This window comes from Homo sapiens, chromosome 10, assembly GCF_000001405.40.
Source record: "Homo sapiens chromosome 10, GRCh38.p14 Primary Assembly".
Classification (NCBI taxonomy): domain Eukaryota; kingdom Metazoa; phylum Chordata; class Mammalia; order Primates; family Hominidae; genus Homo; species Homo sapiens.
The window spans coordinates 20,822,141-20,838,903 of record NC_000010.11 but is presented as its reverse complement, the minus strand read 5'-3'; the positions used below and the strand labels follow the sequence as shown (position 1 = coordinate 20,838,903).

The window sequence follows — 16,763 nt, the reverse complement described above, 5'->3', positions numbered from 1 at the left end:
TGCAATAGGCTTATGTTCAAAATACATCCATATCTTAATTTAAAGTACTTTATTTATAATAGTGCTAATGATCATCTGATCCTTCAGCAAGTGGTAATCTTTTCACTGGCGGAGGGTCTTGTCTCTATATTGATGGCTGCCGACTGATCAGGATGGTGGCTGCTGAAGGTTGGGTTGACTGTGGCCATTCCTTAAAATAAGATGACAATGAAGTTTGCCACATTAATTGCCTCTTCCTCTCATGAAAGATTTCTCTGTAGCATGTGATGTTGTTGATATATTTTACCCACAGTAGAACTTTCAAGATTAGAGACCAACCTCTCAAACCCATTGCTGCTTTAATGACAAAGTTTTTGTAGTATCCTAAATCTTTTGTTGTTATTTCAATAATGATCACAGCATCTTCACAAGGATTTGATCTTCAGAAACCACATTCTTTGCTTGTCCATTGGAAGCAACTCCTTATCCATTCAAGTTTGATTATGAGATGGCAGCAGTTCAGTCACATTTTCAAGTTCCACTTCTAATTCTAGTTCTCTTGCTATTTCCACTGCATCTGCAGTTGCTTCCTCCACTGAAGTCTTGAACCCCTCAAAGTCATCCATGAGAGTTGAAATCAACTTCTTCCAAACTTCTATTAATGTTGATATTTTGTACTTCTCTCATGAATCACTAATCTTCTTAATGGCATGTAGAGTGGTGAATCTTTTTCAGAAGGTTTTCAATTTACTTTGCCCAGATTCATCAGAGGAATCACCATCTATGACAGGTATAGCCCTATGAAATGTATTTCTTAAATAATAAGCCTTGAAAGTAAAAATTTTCCTTGATCCATGGGCTGCAGAATGGATGTTGAGTAGCAGGCTCGAAAACATGAATATCCTTATACATTTCTATCAGAACTGTTTGGTGACCAGGTGCATTGTAACTGAACATTAATATTTTCAAGGAGTCTTTCTTTTATGAACATTAGGTTTTGGCAGTGGGCTTCAAATATTCAGTAAACCATACTTTAAACAAATGTGCTGTCATCCAGGCTTTGTTATTCCATTTATAAAGCATAGGCAGAGTAGATTTAGCATAATTCTTAAAGACCCTAGGATTTCCAGAATGGTAAATGAGCATTGGCTGCAACTTAAAGTCAGCAGCTGTGTTAGACCCTAATAAGAGTCAGCTTGTCCTTTGAAGAATTGAAGCAGACATTGACTTCTCCTCACTAGCTATGGAAGTCCTAGATGGCATCTTTTTCCAATAGAAGGCTGGTTTGTCTGCATCAAAAATCTGTTGTTTAGTGTAGCTACCTTCATTAATTATCTTAGCTAGATCTTCTGGGTGACTTGCTGTGGCTTCTCCATCAGCACTTGCTGCTTCACCTTGCACTTTCATATGATGGAGATGGCTTCTTTCCTTAAACCTCATGAACCAACCTCTGCTAGTTTCCAACTTTTCTTGTGCAGCTTCTTCACCTCTCTCAGCCTTCACAGAAATGAGGAGGGTTAGGGCCTTGTTCTGGATTAGGTTTGGTTTAAGGGGATGTTGTGTCTGGAATGTTTTGTCTGGTTTGACCTATTCAGACCACTAAAACTTTCTCTATATCAGCAATAGGGTTGTTTCACATTCTTATAATTCATGTGTTCACTGGGGTAGCACTGTTAATTTCCTTCAAGAACTTTTCCTTGGCATTCACAACTCGAATAACTGTTTGGCACAAGAGTCCTAGCTTTGGGCCTGTGTTGGCTTTTGACATCCTTTCCTCACTAAGCTCAGTCATTTCTAGCTTTTGACTTAAAGCACGTCTCTTCTGTTTACTTGACCATCTAGGGGCCATTGTAGGGTTACTAATCGGCCCAATTTCAATATTGTTTTGACTTAGGGAATAGGGAAGCCCAAAGAGAGGGAAAGAGATAGAGGAACGGCTGATCAGTGGAGCAGCCAGAACACACACAACATTTCTCGATTAAGTTCACTGACTTATAGGGGTGCATTTGGTGGCATCTCCCAACAATTACAATAGTGTTGCAGGACTTCTTCTTGGTTCAGCTAAAGACAGGGTCCTTGTCCCATGGCCATGAAAATTTAGGCTTGCAGAGAGTTTGAAGGGTGAGTAAAGCAGAGTTTTATTGGGTGTAAAGGAAGAAAAGGGGGAAACAGGGACTCTCTGCAAGGCCAGAGTCCCTGCTAGAGTGCTTCCCACCTCACAGTTTGAATCCCAGGTTCCACACAGGAATAGGAGAGGCCAGGCTCCTCCCTCTTGCAAACTGCCGGAACTTCTGTGGCTCCACCCCAGCGCATGCTCTTCCCAGTGCACAGGCCAGTTGGAGTTTTGCCAGTGACCCCCTCCTATCTGTCTGTCTCAATAGTAACATCAAAGATCACTGATTGGCCAGATGCGGTGGCTCACACCTGTAATCCCAGCATTTTGGGAGGCCGAGGTGGGTGGATCACCTGAGGTCAGGAGTTCGTGACCGGCCTGGCCAACGTGGTGAAACCTGGTCTCTACTAAAAATACAAAAATTAGCTGGATGTGGTGGCGCATGCCTGTAGTCCCAGCTATTCGGGAGGCTGAGGCTGGAGAATCGCTTGAACCCAGGAGGCACAAGTTGCAGTGAGCCGAGATCACGCCACTGCACTCCAGCCTGCGCGAGAGAGCAAGACTCTGTCAAAACAAAAAAATCACTGATCACAAAGCACCATAACAGTTTGAAATATTGTATTACCAAAATGTGACACCGAGACACCATGTAAGCACATACTGTTGGAAAAATAGCACCGATAGGCTTGCTTGACAAGCAGAGTTGCCACAAACCTTCAGTTTGTAAAAAAAAATGCAATATCTACAAAGCACAATAAAAATGAGGTATGCTTGCATTACTACCTTCATTTTGCAGATGAGTAAACTGGAAAGGTTAAGAATTCTCAGTGTCATACAGCTGGTGAATGCTCTGGCTTCTAAGTTCATCTGTTTTGTACAACAGCAGCTCATTTACACCCACCTCCCTATCCTCCAGCCCCAAAGAAAATTGTCAGTGAAGATTTTCACATGGCAATTGCCTTTGTATACTAAACATTTTTGGAGCTTTGCATGCCCTTCTTCAGTGAGAATGAGATTATCATTCTAAGCAGTTCAGAAGTTAGTTGTGAGTGATCATTCATAGTACTCAAGGAGCTTTGTTACCTCTTTTGTAAAATATGTCTAACTATTTTTTTTTTAGTATCATTGACTGCAGATGCATGTTTGCCCACTGAGTGTTTGAATGTTGTAAAATGTTGTCTTTTGCAGAAAGAATACAAGAAAGACCTGGAGTCAATAATTAAAGGGAAAGGAATGCAAGCTGGCACTGACACCCTTGAAATGCAGCATGCCAAGAAGGCTGCAGAGATAGCGAGTGAGGTTAGTAGGGTGCGTGATGCAGGCCTTAAGACTCATATTTTGGAACCTAACAAATCGTATTAGCAACTTGATTACTATATGGAATTTCTCAAAGCATTGCAGCTGGTTTAACAGTTTGGAATGGAGACTATTCCGAAGCATTATGCCAGTTTGAAAAATTACAGTTTTTGCTTTGCTCATATCCTTCCAATATATCAAGAAAGCTTGGTGGAAGGCATTTTAATTGAACAGACACACATGCACACATGCACTCCCCTGCACACCTTATTTCAGAATACAACAGATTTAATGGTAATCTAGGCTATGATAAATGTTTTCATGGTATTTTTTAATGGATCATGTGCTGCTTGGCATATCTGTATTTCCAAATTTCTGAGCAGAACTTCATATATGGACACTTTACATGAGAACAATAGTCATTCCTGTCTGATTGCATGTTCTTAAAATAGCCTTTGTTGACATGATCAGCACGCATGAAATTTCTACACAGTCAGCATTTTGGATGGAGGTCTGATATAACCTGAACGACCATGTTCATTCATCTGATAACACCAGTTTTTTCTTCATGGGATACAGGATATTGATTTAGAAGTTTTGTCTTAAATTCTGTGACAGGCTGGGTATCACATCACAAGGTTGTAGGAGTCAGACCATATGCATATTTTTCAAAGGAAATACCCTAGAACTTTCTCTACACCTCTTGAACTTCCCCAGAAAATCTGAGAATATAAAAGGATCACTGGAGTAAAGAAGCTTTGGGATGTGATGATTTTATAAAAAGTGTATGTGAAGAAAAAATCGGGGTGCAGGTGAAGGGGTCCTGTTCACTTATCTCAAGGTTGGTTAGGTGGGGGCTTCAGTGGAGTATCCTGAGACCTGTTGTGTGATCTTTGCACTTAGGAAGAGCTGACTCAGGACTGACACCTTACAGGAAATCTGGAAGGCCAGAGGTAGCTGCTTAGCTGCTAGGGAAGTTACTGTTGTTTTGAAAATGACTGACATCCCCAGAGTTAGGCACTGGCCAGGGAAATGGGATTGCCATGATTGAATAAGACAAAGGAAGTGGAGATGGTATAGGTTTCCTGATCAATAAGTGTTCCATTTTGAAGTGGTGGCCAGGGGTGGACGGCCAGGAGCATGAGGAACTTGAAAACCTGCTTTATCCCTTTCCTACTTCTGTTCTCGTCCTGAGAGATAGTCATTGTTATAAGTTTGTTATGGAACCTTCCAAATCTATTTTGTGTTTATATAGATAAACATACACATGTACACACAGCGACTTAAAAAAATCTTAAATGGGGTCAGACCCCATTTAAGTGGTTGATTGTTTTCTCACTTTATATTAAGGATTTTTTTCCATGTTCCTTCATATAGGTCTACCTCATTCTTATAGAAAAATTAAGTGTTCTGTAACATGGATGTGAATATGTGACCATTTATCTTTTGTTGTCTGCAAGGGAAATGTATAATGGGATCTCAACGTTACAGGCCAAAACTAGAATCCCTAATTTTCCCCTAGGTTAGCTTTCCCCAATCTTCAAATGGCGCCAACCAAAGCATAGAAGTCACTTTGATTCCTGTCATCAGCATACTTTATTGATGCCACCCCCATAGTGGTGGTCTAAATCCATCTTTCTTGCCACCCTAGTCCTAAGCCACTATCTCTATCCTCTAGATCATTGCCATAGCTTCCTAACCAGAATTCTGCTATTATTGCCTTCCTAGTAGACATTCTTTTTTTCTTTTTTTTTTTTTTTGAGACGGAGTCTCGCTCTGTCGCCCAGGCTGGAGTGCAGTGGTGCAATCTCGGCTCACTGCAAGCTCTGCCTCCAGGGTCCTAGTAGACATTCTTAACCCAGCAGGAGAAGAATCCTTGAGGCAATTAAATGAAATTTTGTTACTCTCCTCACATGCAATTCTTTAATGGTTTCCAGTCACATCCAGTGTAAATTGATTCACGTGGCTCTGGTGAAGTCTCCACTCTCAGGCTGAGAATCTTAGTCAATAAAAACCCCCCAAATAATAATAATAAAAATCTCATTTGCATATAATCATAGTCATGTCCCATTTTGCCTAAATGACAGGCTCAGATCATTTTCAACCAATGTTCGGGACTTTGCCATAGTTTATTTTTAATATCAAAAGTTTATTTTTCAAATAAAGTCAATGGATCTTATTGTGACACAAATGACCCTCAAGAGTCAAGCCTTCCCATATCTCTGGGCTTGACCATGTGACTTTCTTTAGCCAATGAGACATCAGCAAATGTGACTCAGACTATAAACACACTTCTGCATTAGGGTTTGCCCTCTTGGAATGTAGATGCCGCCATGTTGTTTTAAACCTGCTAAGTTTTGGTGTGTTTTGTTATGCAGACAACAAATAACTGATGCAAAGGGTGTCTAATGTAGTCTATGTGCTTTAGAACACATTTACATTTGAAAGTTCATATTAAAAAATTGTTACATCCTTTTACCATCAGACCTTGGTGGCTGTCTGTTATCAGTGCCTCAGTTTCATCATATTTGTTGGCCTTCAAATGAAACATTTCATTTTGGGGCTTTGAACAGGCTGACTAAAACAGAGTGCTTTTTGTAGACATAGTAATAATTGAATATTAATATTTTGAAAGTTAAACATAATTATGTAAACTTTTATTTAGAAAAGTGATACTGGGAGTGTAAGTCAGTAAAAACAGGAAGGATTATGAGTGGAAGATAGGAGGCAAAATACTCCAAGACTGAGATTTTTGTTTACCACTTACCTAAATTTGAGGATCTCCTAATAAGCAAATCAACATTTACTTTGCAGCAGAGAATCTACAAATCTGGAGTGTGTCAGCATAATAAGAAATAATTGTTTTAAAGCAAATTTAATTGGCTATAGTTAATAGTTTTTTTTAATAACATTTTTCTTTGAAGAATAATATACATATAGAAAAAGCAAATTTATATATGTACAGCTTTCTGAATTTTATAATCAGTTTTCAAATGTGACAGAAGTCCCTAAAGACATGTGTGTCTATGTAATTATGACTATCTTGTAAGCAATTGGTAATCCATTTCCCACTGGCTTAAAAAAAAAACAGAGATAACTTATTTGTTGTTCTTATGATTGAATAGTAGAGAAATTCCTAGGCACGGCTTGATCTAGGACTCAAATAATGAGATATAGTTTCAGCTTGCAGTTCTTAGGTAGACATTCTTGTTTGCAAAGAGGCTTCCAGCAGCTCTTATATGGAAAAAAAGATGCATGCATCCCAGAACCAATTCTGCAGTGTGGGTGATGGGGTATAATGATTTATTGAGTCCAGCAGATCCCAGAGACTTGGGCCAGTTTCTGGATGGTTTAGGAGTGGGGAACATTGACTTGTCCAGTGGCAAATCAGAGAGCCAGTGAAGGGAATAATGATTTATTTAAGCCCAGCTAAGTCCAGAGATTTGAGCCAGTCTCACCGAAGCTGGATGGTTTAGGAGTGGGAACATTGAGTTGTCTAGTGGCAAATTAGGGAGCCAATGAAGGGGAAAAAAGGGGTGGATTCCAGAGAAGCAACCAACACTTATTCACTACAGAGTGAAAAACAGCAATTTTACAATCACTCTTGACTGACACTTAACTAAGCCATATATGACCCAATAATATATCAAGTTTATCATATTGAAATGTTAAATTTTCCCCTTGGCTAGCTGTGTTTTTTCTTCTTCTTAATTCAGATTAGCTGAAAAAAATTGTTCTGATTACTGGTGAATAAGTTATACTAAGTCGTATTCCTACCACAAGTAAAAACTCTATTATTCTATAGAAATAAAAGAAATAAGGATTCAACTTCATTCCAAAAGACATGGTCTTAATGTCAAAATGACATCTCGATTTTTGAGCAGTTTCTCAAATGATTGGAGAGCACTAACTGTATGTTTCATTTTCTGCAGAAAGACTATAAAAGAGATCTGGAGACTGAAATTAAAGGGAAAGGGATGCAGGTGAGCACAGACACTCTTGATGTCCAGAGAGCTAAGAAAGCATCCGAGATGGCCAGCCAGGTAAGACAGCAGCAAGATACAAAGTTTAAAATAAATGCCGTGAATCATAGCTGGAAAGAGCATAAGTTTTCTTTCCACATGGGTGGCTTTGAGATTCAAACATGTAAATTTCAACATCGCTATTAAAGCTTAAGCAAAGCTCTAAGATTATTTTCTGTTCTTTTAGAAACAATACAAGAAGGACTTAGAAAATGAAATTAAAGGGAAAGGAATGCAAGTGAGCATGGATATCCCAGATATCCTTCGAGCCAAGAGGACATCTGAAATCTATAGCCAGGTTGGTCATGAATGAAGATGCTCAGAATCGTGTATTCCAATGTCATGTTGCCATGTGCTTTGTATGTCTCTATGAATGATATCTTTCTGAGGGCATTGCATTCAGAGCTAGTGTACTCTTTCACTAAGAAACCATTGGCCAAACTTGATTAACCGTACTAATTAATAGGACAACAGTCATAGATTCAATGCAACAGACATTATGGAGAGCTACAGCCTCTCTGTCGGGGCTCCTTGTTTTGAGTCCAAGGACATTAAACCTTTTTTTTTTTTTTTTTTTTTTTAAATTTTAGAGATGGAGGTCTCACTCTTTCACCCAGGCTGGAATGCAGTGGCACCATCATAGCTTGCTGCAGCCTCAAACTCCTGGGCTCAAGCTTATCTTCCTGCCTCAGTGGGCATGAGCCATTGTGCCCAGCCCAAGGATATTTTAACCTTTTCTTTCTTTCTTTTTTTTTTTTTGACCCTATTGGACACTTGGCTCAAATGCTTTTGCTAATACTACAGAAAAATAAATTACAAACGTTTTGTCTTTTAACCATTTCATAATGAATATTAATATTAAAATAGTTCCAAATAAAGCTAACAGTGGCTAAAGCTGCACAAGGTATAAAGTGAAGTTTAGTGTTAGGTAAAAATTAAGGGAACAGTGAGGTTTTCTTGGTAAAATTTAGATTTGTCAAATATACTTGTCCCATATTCTGTAAACAAAGCTGGATGTGGGAGAAGTAGTGACCACAAAAATTTATGGAAGAAGAATTTATTTATAAAATCTGACTTGGGCAAAAACATTCATTAGCAAATAATATCTTTGCTGTAACATTTACTAAAAAAGAATGACTCCCAATGGAAAAAAATAGAAGGAATGAAAAAAATGAAAATGGTTATTTAAAATTGACCATAGCATTTAATTTGATTAATGGAGTTTATGCAGAAAGGATTGTGTAACAACATTTGGTGAAATTTGTTAAAATTCTGATTAAGACATAAGCAAGGACATTAACCATCCACTAGTTCAAAAGGGTAGTATCAAGATGGCAGAGTCAAATGTCAGAGGACTTGTGTGCCTCTCAGCCTCCGCAGCCGACACAGCCGCTGGGATGATCCTGAAGTGTGTGTTCTGTTCTCAGTGTTCGTGAACTTGGAGACATTGGCTTGGCCATATCAGCTTAACTAAAATCCTAAGTCAATGCATTAAACAACAAATAGACATTTGAGTCAGTGGAGAAGAGTTACTTACTCTCTCAAGAATGCCAAATTCATTCCTTCAGTAGGTAAATACCTCCTGAGCACCCATTTGCAGGCAAAACTAGACATGGCTTTGCTCTTGGAAAGCTACAGATAAATCTAATAATCATGTAAATATAGTATTACAACCATGATATATACACCTGAAAGTAAAAGTATTGAGAGTGAAGGTGCCTGAGCTGTCAGATTTCCTGCATTAACTCAACAGCATAGATTTTTTTTTAGTGTGGTGTGAGAATATATCTAATTTTAAGGGATTTTAATCACTGAAATACAATTGGGATACTTACGAGGGTGTAATGAAGCCTGGTGCATTTCAACATGAATAGTAGTTACCTTTCTTTTTTTTTAATTTTATTATTATTATACTTTAAGTTTCAGGGTACATGTGTACAATGTGCAGGTTAGTTACATATGTATACATGTGCTATGCTGGTGCGCTGCACCCACTAACTCGTCATCTAGCATTAGGTATATCTCCTAATGCTATCCCTCCCCCCTCCCCCTACCCCACAACAGTCCCCAGAGTGTGATGTTCCCCTTCCTGTGTCCATGTGTTCTCATTGTTCAATTCCCACCTATGAGTGAGAATATGCAGTGTTTGGTTTTTTGTTCTTGCAATAGTTTACTGAGAATGATGATTTCCAATTTCATCCATGTCCCTACAAAGGACATGAACTCATCATTTTTTATGGCTGCATAGTATTCCATGGTGTATATGTGCCACATTTTCTTAAGTAGTTTGCCAGAATAATTAACTTCACTGATTTTGGAATCAGAGAGCCTGGTTTTAAGTTGAGGCTCTGATACTTACTATCTAGTACTTCAGTTTCTCCATCTGTAAGATGGAAATAATAATAGTATCTGCTTGTCAGGTTGATTAAATGAGTTAGTGTGTGTTAAGTATTTAGAACAATACCCATTACATAGTAAGTACAATGTAAGTGCTGGTACTAGGATAAGATATTGCCTGGGTTGTATTAGAGCTCATAGTAGCTCATTTAGTGGAGAGAAAATTAAGATTTTAATCTCAACTTCAAAATACTGTTAACTTTCCCTTAATCAAATCTATCTTCACATGAAGTAGGAAGCAAAGCGTAAATCTAGAAGCCATGTCGTATGGTAGAGATCGAAGAATGGTATCATTCTATCTCTGTCTCTCCACCTCTCTCTCTCTCTCTCTGGGAGTGTAAGTCAGTAAAAACAGTTTTTTACTCTCTCTCTCTCCCTTCCTCCTTTCCTGCCTCCCTCCCTCCCTCTCACATGTGCGCACACACATAGTTTCAGATTTATATTAACTGTTTATGTTTTTAGAGAAAGTATAAAGATGAAGCAGAGAAGATGCTTTCTAACTATTCTACCATAGCAGATACTCCTGAAATTCAGAGAATTAAGACAACTCAACAAAACATTAGTGCGGTGAGTAGCCATTACTTCTTTTAAGTTGCCACCTTGAAATTTTGTTTTGTAAGAAATGGTCTTTTTTCCTCATTGTCTGATGTTTTCTGCTGTCTTAGTTGAATTTTCTGTCAAGTGTATTATCTTTATTTCTTTAAAATAATAAGAATACTGATAATTTTTACAAATTATCATTTTTCATTATTTTTTTGGAATTACAAATTCAAAATTTCCTCTTCGGTATAAATGACAGTTATTAACTAAATTTTAAAATTTAACTCAGGAAAGAAGTCTGTCTTCTACACAGATTTTACTTTGAAGGTGAAAATAGTCATATGAAGTGATTTTATTCCTGGTTATTGATTGTTTTTACTGATAATATGTCTAACCATTTACTCATTCTTAATAAATTTCTAAACTTCTATATTTTTATTTTGAGGAAGAGGAATTGCATCAGCACTTTTTTTTTTAACTTTTATTTTAAGTTTGGGGGTACCTGTGCAGGTTTTTACATAGGTAAACTTGTGTCATAGGGGTTTGTTGTACGATTATTTTGTCACGCAGGTGTTAAGCCTAGTACCCATTAGTTATTTTTTCTGATCCTCTCCCTCCCCTCCTTCTTCACCCTCTGATAGGCCCCTGTGTGTGTTGTTCGCCTCTGTGTGTCCATGTGTTCTCATCATTTAGCTCCCACTTATAAGTGAGAAAATGCGGTATTTGGTTTTCTGTTCCTGCATTAGTTTGCTAAGTATAATGGCATCTAGCTCCATCCATGTCCCTGCAAAGGCCATGATCTCATTCTTTTTTATGACTGCATGGTATTCTGTGGTGTATATGTACCACATTTTCTTTATCCAGTCTATCATTGATGGGCATTCAGGTTGATTCCATGTCTTTCCTATTGTAAATAGTGCATCAGCACTATTAATTAAGAGGCTGAGTCCATTAATAAATGTATAAACTTGACTTCTGTTCTAAAATTGTAAAAATTGACCATACAACTAATATTTTAACATAGAATTAGCTCAGTCATTAATAGTTAAGGAAGCATCTCATCAAAATATAAATTCTAGTAAGTGTGAGGACTTCTGGAATATTTCCTACCTCCTAATTAGTTGGCAAGCGCCAGCTCTCAGAGTAAGCTGGTCAGATGTCTGCTGGGTCTCCACAGGGATGGCCAGGCTGTACTGAGAAATGGGAAAGTCTTGATGGAAGGATGAGGAAAAGAGGCTGTGTGATTCTATAGTGTTCTGTAGTTCTAGCCTTTGGAGGAAAACATCTCTCCTACCGTGCTCTCCCACCCACGCGGGGGCCACTGGATTACCAAATGTCAAGAAAGGGAGTAATTCTATCCTCATTTACCTTTCTTATAATTACTCTGTTTTTCTGCAGAGTACTCATAACGAGGGCACTCATAAATACTCTTGTGTTTTTGTTCTGCTTTGGGTTTGGAAGGGTAGACGTTAGTAGGGGTGGAGACACATGGGAGAGGGTTAACAAATAAGTGGAAGATGAAGAAGATAGACTTGAAATTAACATTGATATTGATGATGAGCTAACATTTTCTTGGAAGAGAATGTGGGCATCCTTGTGTTTGGAGCATAGAAGTTGCCTAAAATGTCATTTTCTTTTTGAATTCAGTGATAACGGCTTAATGGGCTTTTGTAATATCTGCTTTTTCTCAAATACACATGGGACATATATTTATATTTGAAGAAAGGAACTCTGGTTTGCCAATGTGTATTCTTAAAGCAAATAATCTGCAGTCAGCCATGGTAGTGGTCTAGACCTAGAGCAGGAGAGGGTTATTTGTGAGATTATGGGATATAAAACCAAAGTTTTCATGGATTATCTGAATGGATTATTTAATTTGTTCCTATAATTCCGGCACTCATAAATAGATGCAGTATTCATATTATTATAAAACCTGAGAAATTGTCTTTCTAAGAAGCGGATCTAGGACTTGAATTCTGACAAGCTTAGTTATTCTTTTCCTTTTCTTATAATAAAGGTATTTTATAAGAAAGAAGTGGGAGCTGGCACTGCAGTGAAAGATAGCCCAGAGATCGAACGAGTGAAGAAAAATCAGCAGAATATTAGTTCAGTAAGTTCTCTACAGCATTAATTATCTTTTCTAAAAGCAAACCAAAACTATAGACAAATGTTTTTAGTTCTTTACTCAACTGATGGCTTTTTTCCTTTTATTCTTCACTTTATTGAAATGCTATTTCATCATATATCAAAGATCTAACTTTCAGAACAAAAACTGTATCCTTGTTCCCCTTGACTCTGAAGCAGTGTTTCATTTTGATATATCACAATGAAGAAGAGCTAGGTCATTTTAATGAAACCTAGGGTTAGATTTCATCTCTTTGAAGAGAATTTTAACTCTATTAAATTTTGCAGAGAAAGGATACATTTCAGTACCTCTCCACAAGTTGGAAGAAAGAAATTTTTCCCTGATACAATGATTAAAGGCCCCAGAACATTTATTTGGCAGCTTAAGTGAAGGATTAGATTTGAAAAGGCAAATAGTACCAGTTCATTTTTAACCGATGTCAGTCACATCTCTAAGCTTTTTATCAGACACGCTTCTGCCCATTTCTTCTTTCCAGCCTGTTTTACCTTCTGCTTCTTCCAGCAGAAACGAAAACAAATCACACATCTTCACTATAAATTGTGAAATAACTTAGCTTCCAGTAACCTTTAGACTGGGGGGAGGGGTCCTCTTCTGTTGGAAGGGTCCTTCTAACATTAAGGTGCTTAATATTACGGATAAATTGTTTTTTCCATTGAGTGTTTGACATTTGCTGTGGATAATTGCTCTCCTTACCAATTTGATATTCTCCCATGTATATTTAGTACATTGAGTTTCTTTTTTTTTTTTGAGACAGAGTCTTGCTTTGTTGCCTAGGCTGGAGTGCAGTGGCGTAATCTCAGCTCACCGCAACTGCCTCCCAGATTCAAGTGATTCTTCTGTCTCAGCCTCCCGAGTAGCTGGGATTACAGGCACACACCACCACACCTGGCCATTTATTTTTATTGTTTTTATTTTTAGTAGAGATGGGGTTTCACCATGTCGGCCAGGCTGGTCTCAAACACCTGACCTCAAGTGATCCTCCCGCTTCAGCCTCCCAAAGTGCTGGGATTACAGGCATAAGCTACTGTGCCTTTCCGTTACATTTAGTTTCTTGAGGAAGTAAAAAGGATTCGTTCTTTAAATCCCTTACTCTGACTTATCTTTTCACCTTATCCTTGGAAAGAGCACCTTCCCTTTAAGTAATCCAAGCAGAATTGCCTTGATTAGACTCATCTGTGGGTCACTTGGTCATTATGCAGCATCCAGAGAATATCAGTGTGGGTCAGCGTTTGTGAAGAAAGTGTAGGAGAGGTAAGAGAATGCAATAGTAAAGTATACTTCAAAATAAAAGCATAAAAAGTCTACAGAATATGAGTGCAATAAAACCTCTGTAGCACCATGGAGCTGTCTCTTGAATAAAGTGTAAGGAGGACCTAGGCTTAAGGTGTGGATGAGAGTGGATGAATGTGTTCTTCTGATCTTTCATGGTGAGAGCCTGTGTTAGCCTGGTAGATGAATTAGGTTGGGAGAGAAGTATAAAATATTCATTGCTTCTCTTTCCAATGATAATATTTAAAATGCACCCATCGATGTACTGTGGTTTAATATTATAAATATTCTGTAGTGTGCAATTCTATAGACTACAGTGAAATAACTGTGCCATTTTGATTAGAGTCCCTTTGAAAAACAAAAGTGTTCATCTTTAATCATGTTAAGCTTCTTACCTGAGGAAAATCCCAGAGTATTACAGTATATCATTTCTTCTCTTAGCATCCCACAGCCTCTTCTAGCAAACAATAAATGCATAGTTCTGTATCTGCATGAGGTTGGGCCATAAACTCCTGCTTAGTATTCAAATGGAAAGTTGCCCTTTTAAGATTAGCTAGATCTGTCAAACCAAGATATGATTCTCTAACATTTAAAGATCTCGACATTTTCCACCTCCAGAGTACAAGCCTTTTAGCTGTTAGCTCTCTGTCTTAAGAACTATTTTTGAATTTTATTTAGAGGTAGCCTGTCTCAGTGAACTTCCAATTTAACTGTTTTGGGTCTGGACTAATATTGGCATTGTTACTTACATGAAATCCACAGATACTAAGACATAGATGATATCTGAGATATTTAGGTACTGTTTCTTTATGACAGTCTGCATGGTTTTCACCCTTAATCATTTTAAACATTACCAGGTGATTTCTGAAACATGTTTCATGTAGATTTAGATATTTACTAAATTTCAACACGGCCTCTTAAGTTGAGCCTATGCTTTCATATACTTACATATATATGTATCCTTTTCATTCAAGGAAGATTGAATTTGAATTATCTTCCATGAATTTTAGACATATTAAAATACCACCTGAATTGATAGTATCACTAATCATTTTATGAGTTCAAAGAACTCTTTCTTGTCCCGTGCATAACTGTATGCTTGTATTACCATTTGCCTGATTGATCTTCCTCTAAATATATGTGATGGGGGAGATTTTGAGTGAAGTAGAAGCCAGGATAAAGGTGAGCTTTTCCTAATGTGATTGTGTGGATAGCAGACATCTCTGACTTCCTGGCGCTGACCTTCCTTATACTGATGCAGGACCCAGTGGTCTATGCTTTTAGTACATTTCCTTCCATCTCCCTTTTTCTCTTCTTTTATTGTGCTCACTTTATTTTTTTCCTTATTCTATAAGGAATTCCTTATTTCCTTATTTATTTCCTTATTATTTATGTGCTCTCAGTCAGACAAGCAGTGCTCCCCAGACTCTGTGGCTAAATCAATTTGACTTTTGCCTTTAAATACTTGTTAAATTTTAATTACCATATTAATAGAAACTGATTTTTGGATAGAAAATAATCATTTTATTTACGATAATGTACAAGGTTTTTTTCCTGCATCTGCCTAATGATAAAATTTATTTTTATAAGCAACATTTGCTTATTTTACTTAAAAAACTCCTATAGTGATGAATAAGTGAATAGATACGGATTTATTTGTACCTTAGGAATAAGGAATCCTGAAAGCATCATATAAAATTAAGAATTATGTCCCCAGTGAAGGAAAAGTAATGTTGGAATTAATAAAATTCAATTATGCAATAGTTACAATTGAAGAATTCTCAATATTTTAAAGCCTTGCATAGAATAAAGTTAACGTTATATTCTTATAAATTATGCAGGTGAAATACAAAGAAGAGATTAAACATGCAACAGCCATTTCTGATCCTCCAGAACTAAAGAGAGTTAAAGAAAACCAGAAGAACATCAGCAATGTGATCATATTTCTTAAGTATTTTTTAAAAATTTTATTGTATATCAACACGTAATGACAGCATAAAACCTGTACAGGTCAAATGCCATCACAATGAACCTCATTGCGAGAGGATCGGTTCCTTAAAAGTGGAGCTAGCATTTTACACATCTGTATGCCCTCCATGACACCTAGCCTAATGCCTTGTGTCAGCATTTATTTATTAAAGACACATATTATTCAGACATACAGAGTGGAATCATAGACATTGGAGACTCCAAAAGGTAGGAGGGTGAGAGCAGGATGAGAGGTGAAATATTGTTGGGTACAATGTACACTATCTAGGGTAATGGTTACACTAAAAGCCCAGACATCGCCACTATGCAATATGTCTATGTAACACAACTGTTCTTGTACCTTTGAATCTATAATAATTAAAAAGGAATGAAACCTATTTTCAGAAACATATATTGATATTTTCTTTTTTGTTTTGTCATTTATTTTGTTTTGTAGACATATATACGTATCTATAGTCTCTATATATCTATATATCTATAGTCTCTATATATCTATATATAGCCTATATTAGATAGTCTGTATATCTCTATATAGTCTATATTAGTTTATATATAGTCTATATTAGATAGTCTGTATATATCTCTATATAGTCTTTCTATATCTAGTTAGACTACTACCTATCTATATAGACATATGGACTATCTATATATTAGTCTACAAAGCAAAACAAATCACAAAAAAGAACATTTTCTATTTCTTTTATCTATACCTATTTCTGAAAATAGGTATAGATATCTATGAATATATATATTTATGAAAATAGGTATAGATATCTATCTATAGATAGACCTATAGATAGATAGATAGATAACATATATATATATTAGTCTACAAAACAAAACAAGTGACAAAACTAAACATGAAATGTGTTATTGAATGTCTTCTCTGTTCTTGTTCTTGGGGGATTTTAAAGATGAGAGGTATGCCCTGAGATTAGGGGTCGTGGGCATCCTCAAGGTTTGTAGGAGAAACAGAGATAGGAGTATATAGCTATGTTCACTGTTTAAGTTC

The 16,763-nt window shown here is 37.1% G+C and overlaps 1 protein-coding gene across 17 annotated transcripts in view; it reads left to right on the top strand.

Moving 5' to 3' along the window:
* NEBL (nebulette) overlaps positions 1-16,763 on the top strand; it is a 513,078-nt gene that overhangs the window by 454,147 nt on the left and 42,168 nt on the right. For 7 of the 17 annotated variants that reach the window (XR_001746995.3, XR_242691.6, XM_047424443.1 and 4 more), the window contains 6 exons: positions 3,281-3,391; positions 7,321-7,431; positions 7,598-7,708; positions 10,270-10,374; positions 12,365-12,457; positions 15,604-15,696. The exons of the other annotated variants lie outside the window; for them this stretch is intronic. Coding sequence is in view for 5 of the 7 variants with exons in the window: in XM_047424443.1 (XP_047280399.1) it covers positions 3,281-3,391; positions 7,321-7,431; positions 7,598-7,708; positions 10,270-10,374; positions 12,365-12,457; positions 15,604-15,696 (624 nt within the window). In the remaining 2 variants the exon portion in view is untranslated. The remainder of the gene's footprint in view (positions 1-3,280; positions 3,392-7,320; positions 7,432-7,597; positions 7,709-10,269; positions 10,375-12,364; positions 12,458-15,603; positions 15,697-16,763) is intronic. 17 annotated transcript variants of the gene reach the window in all.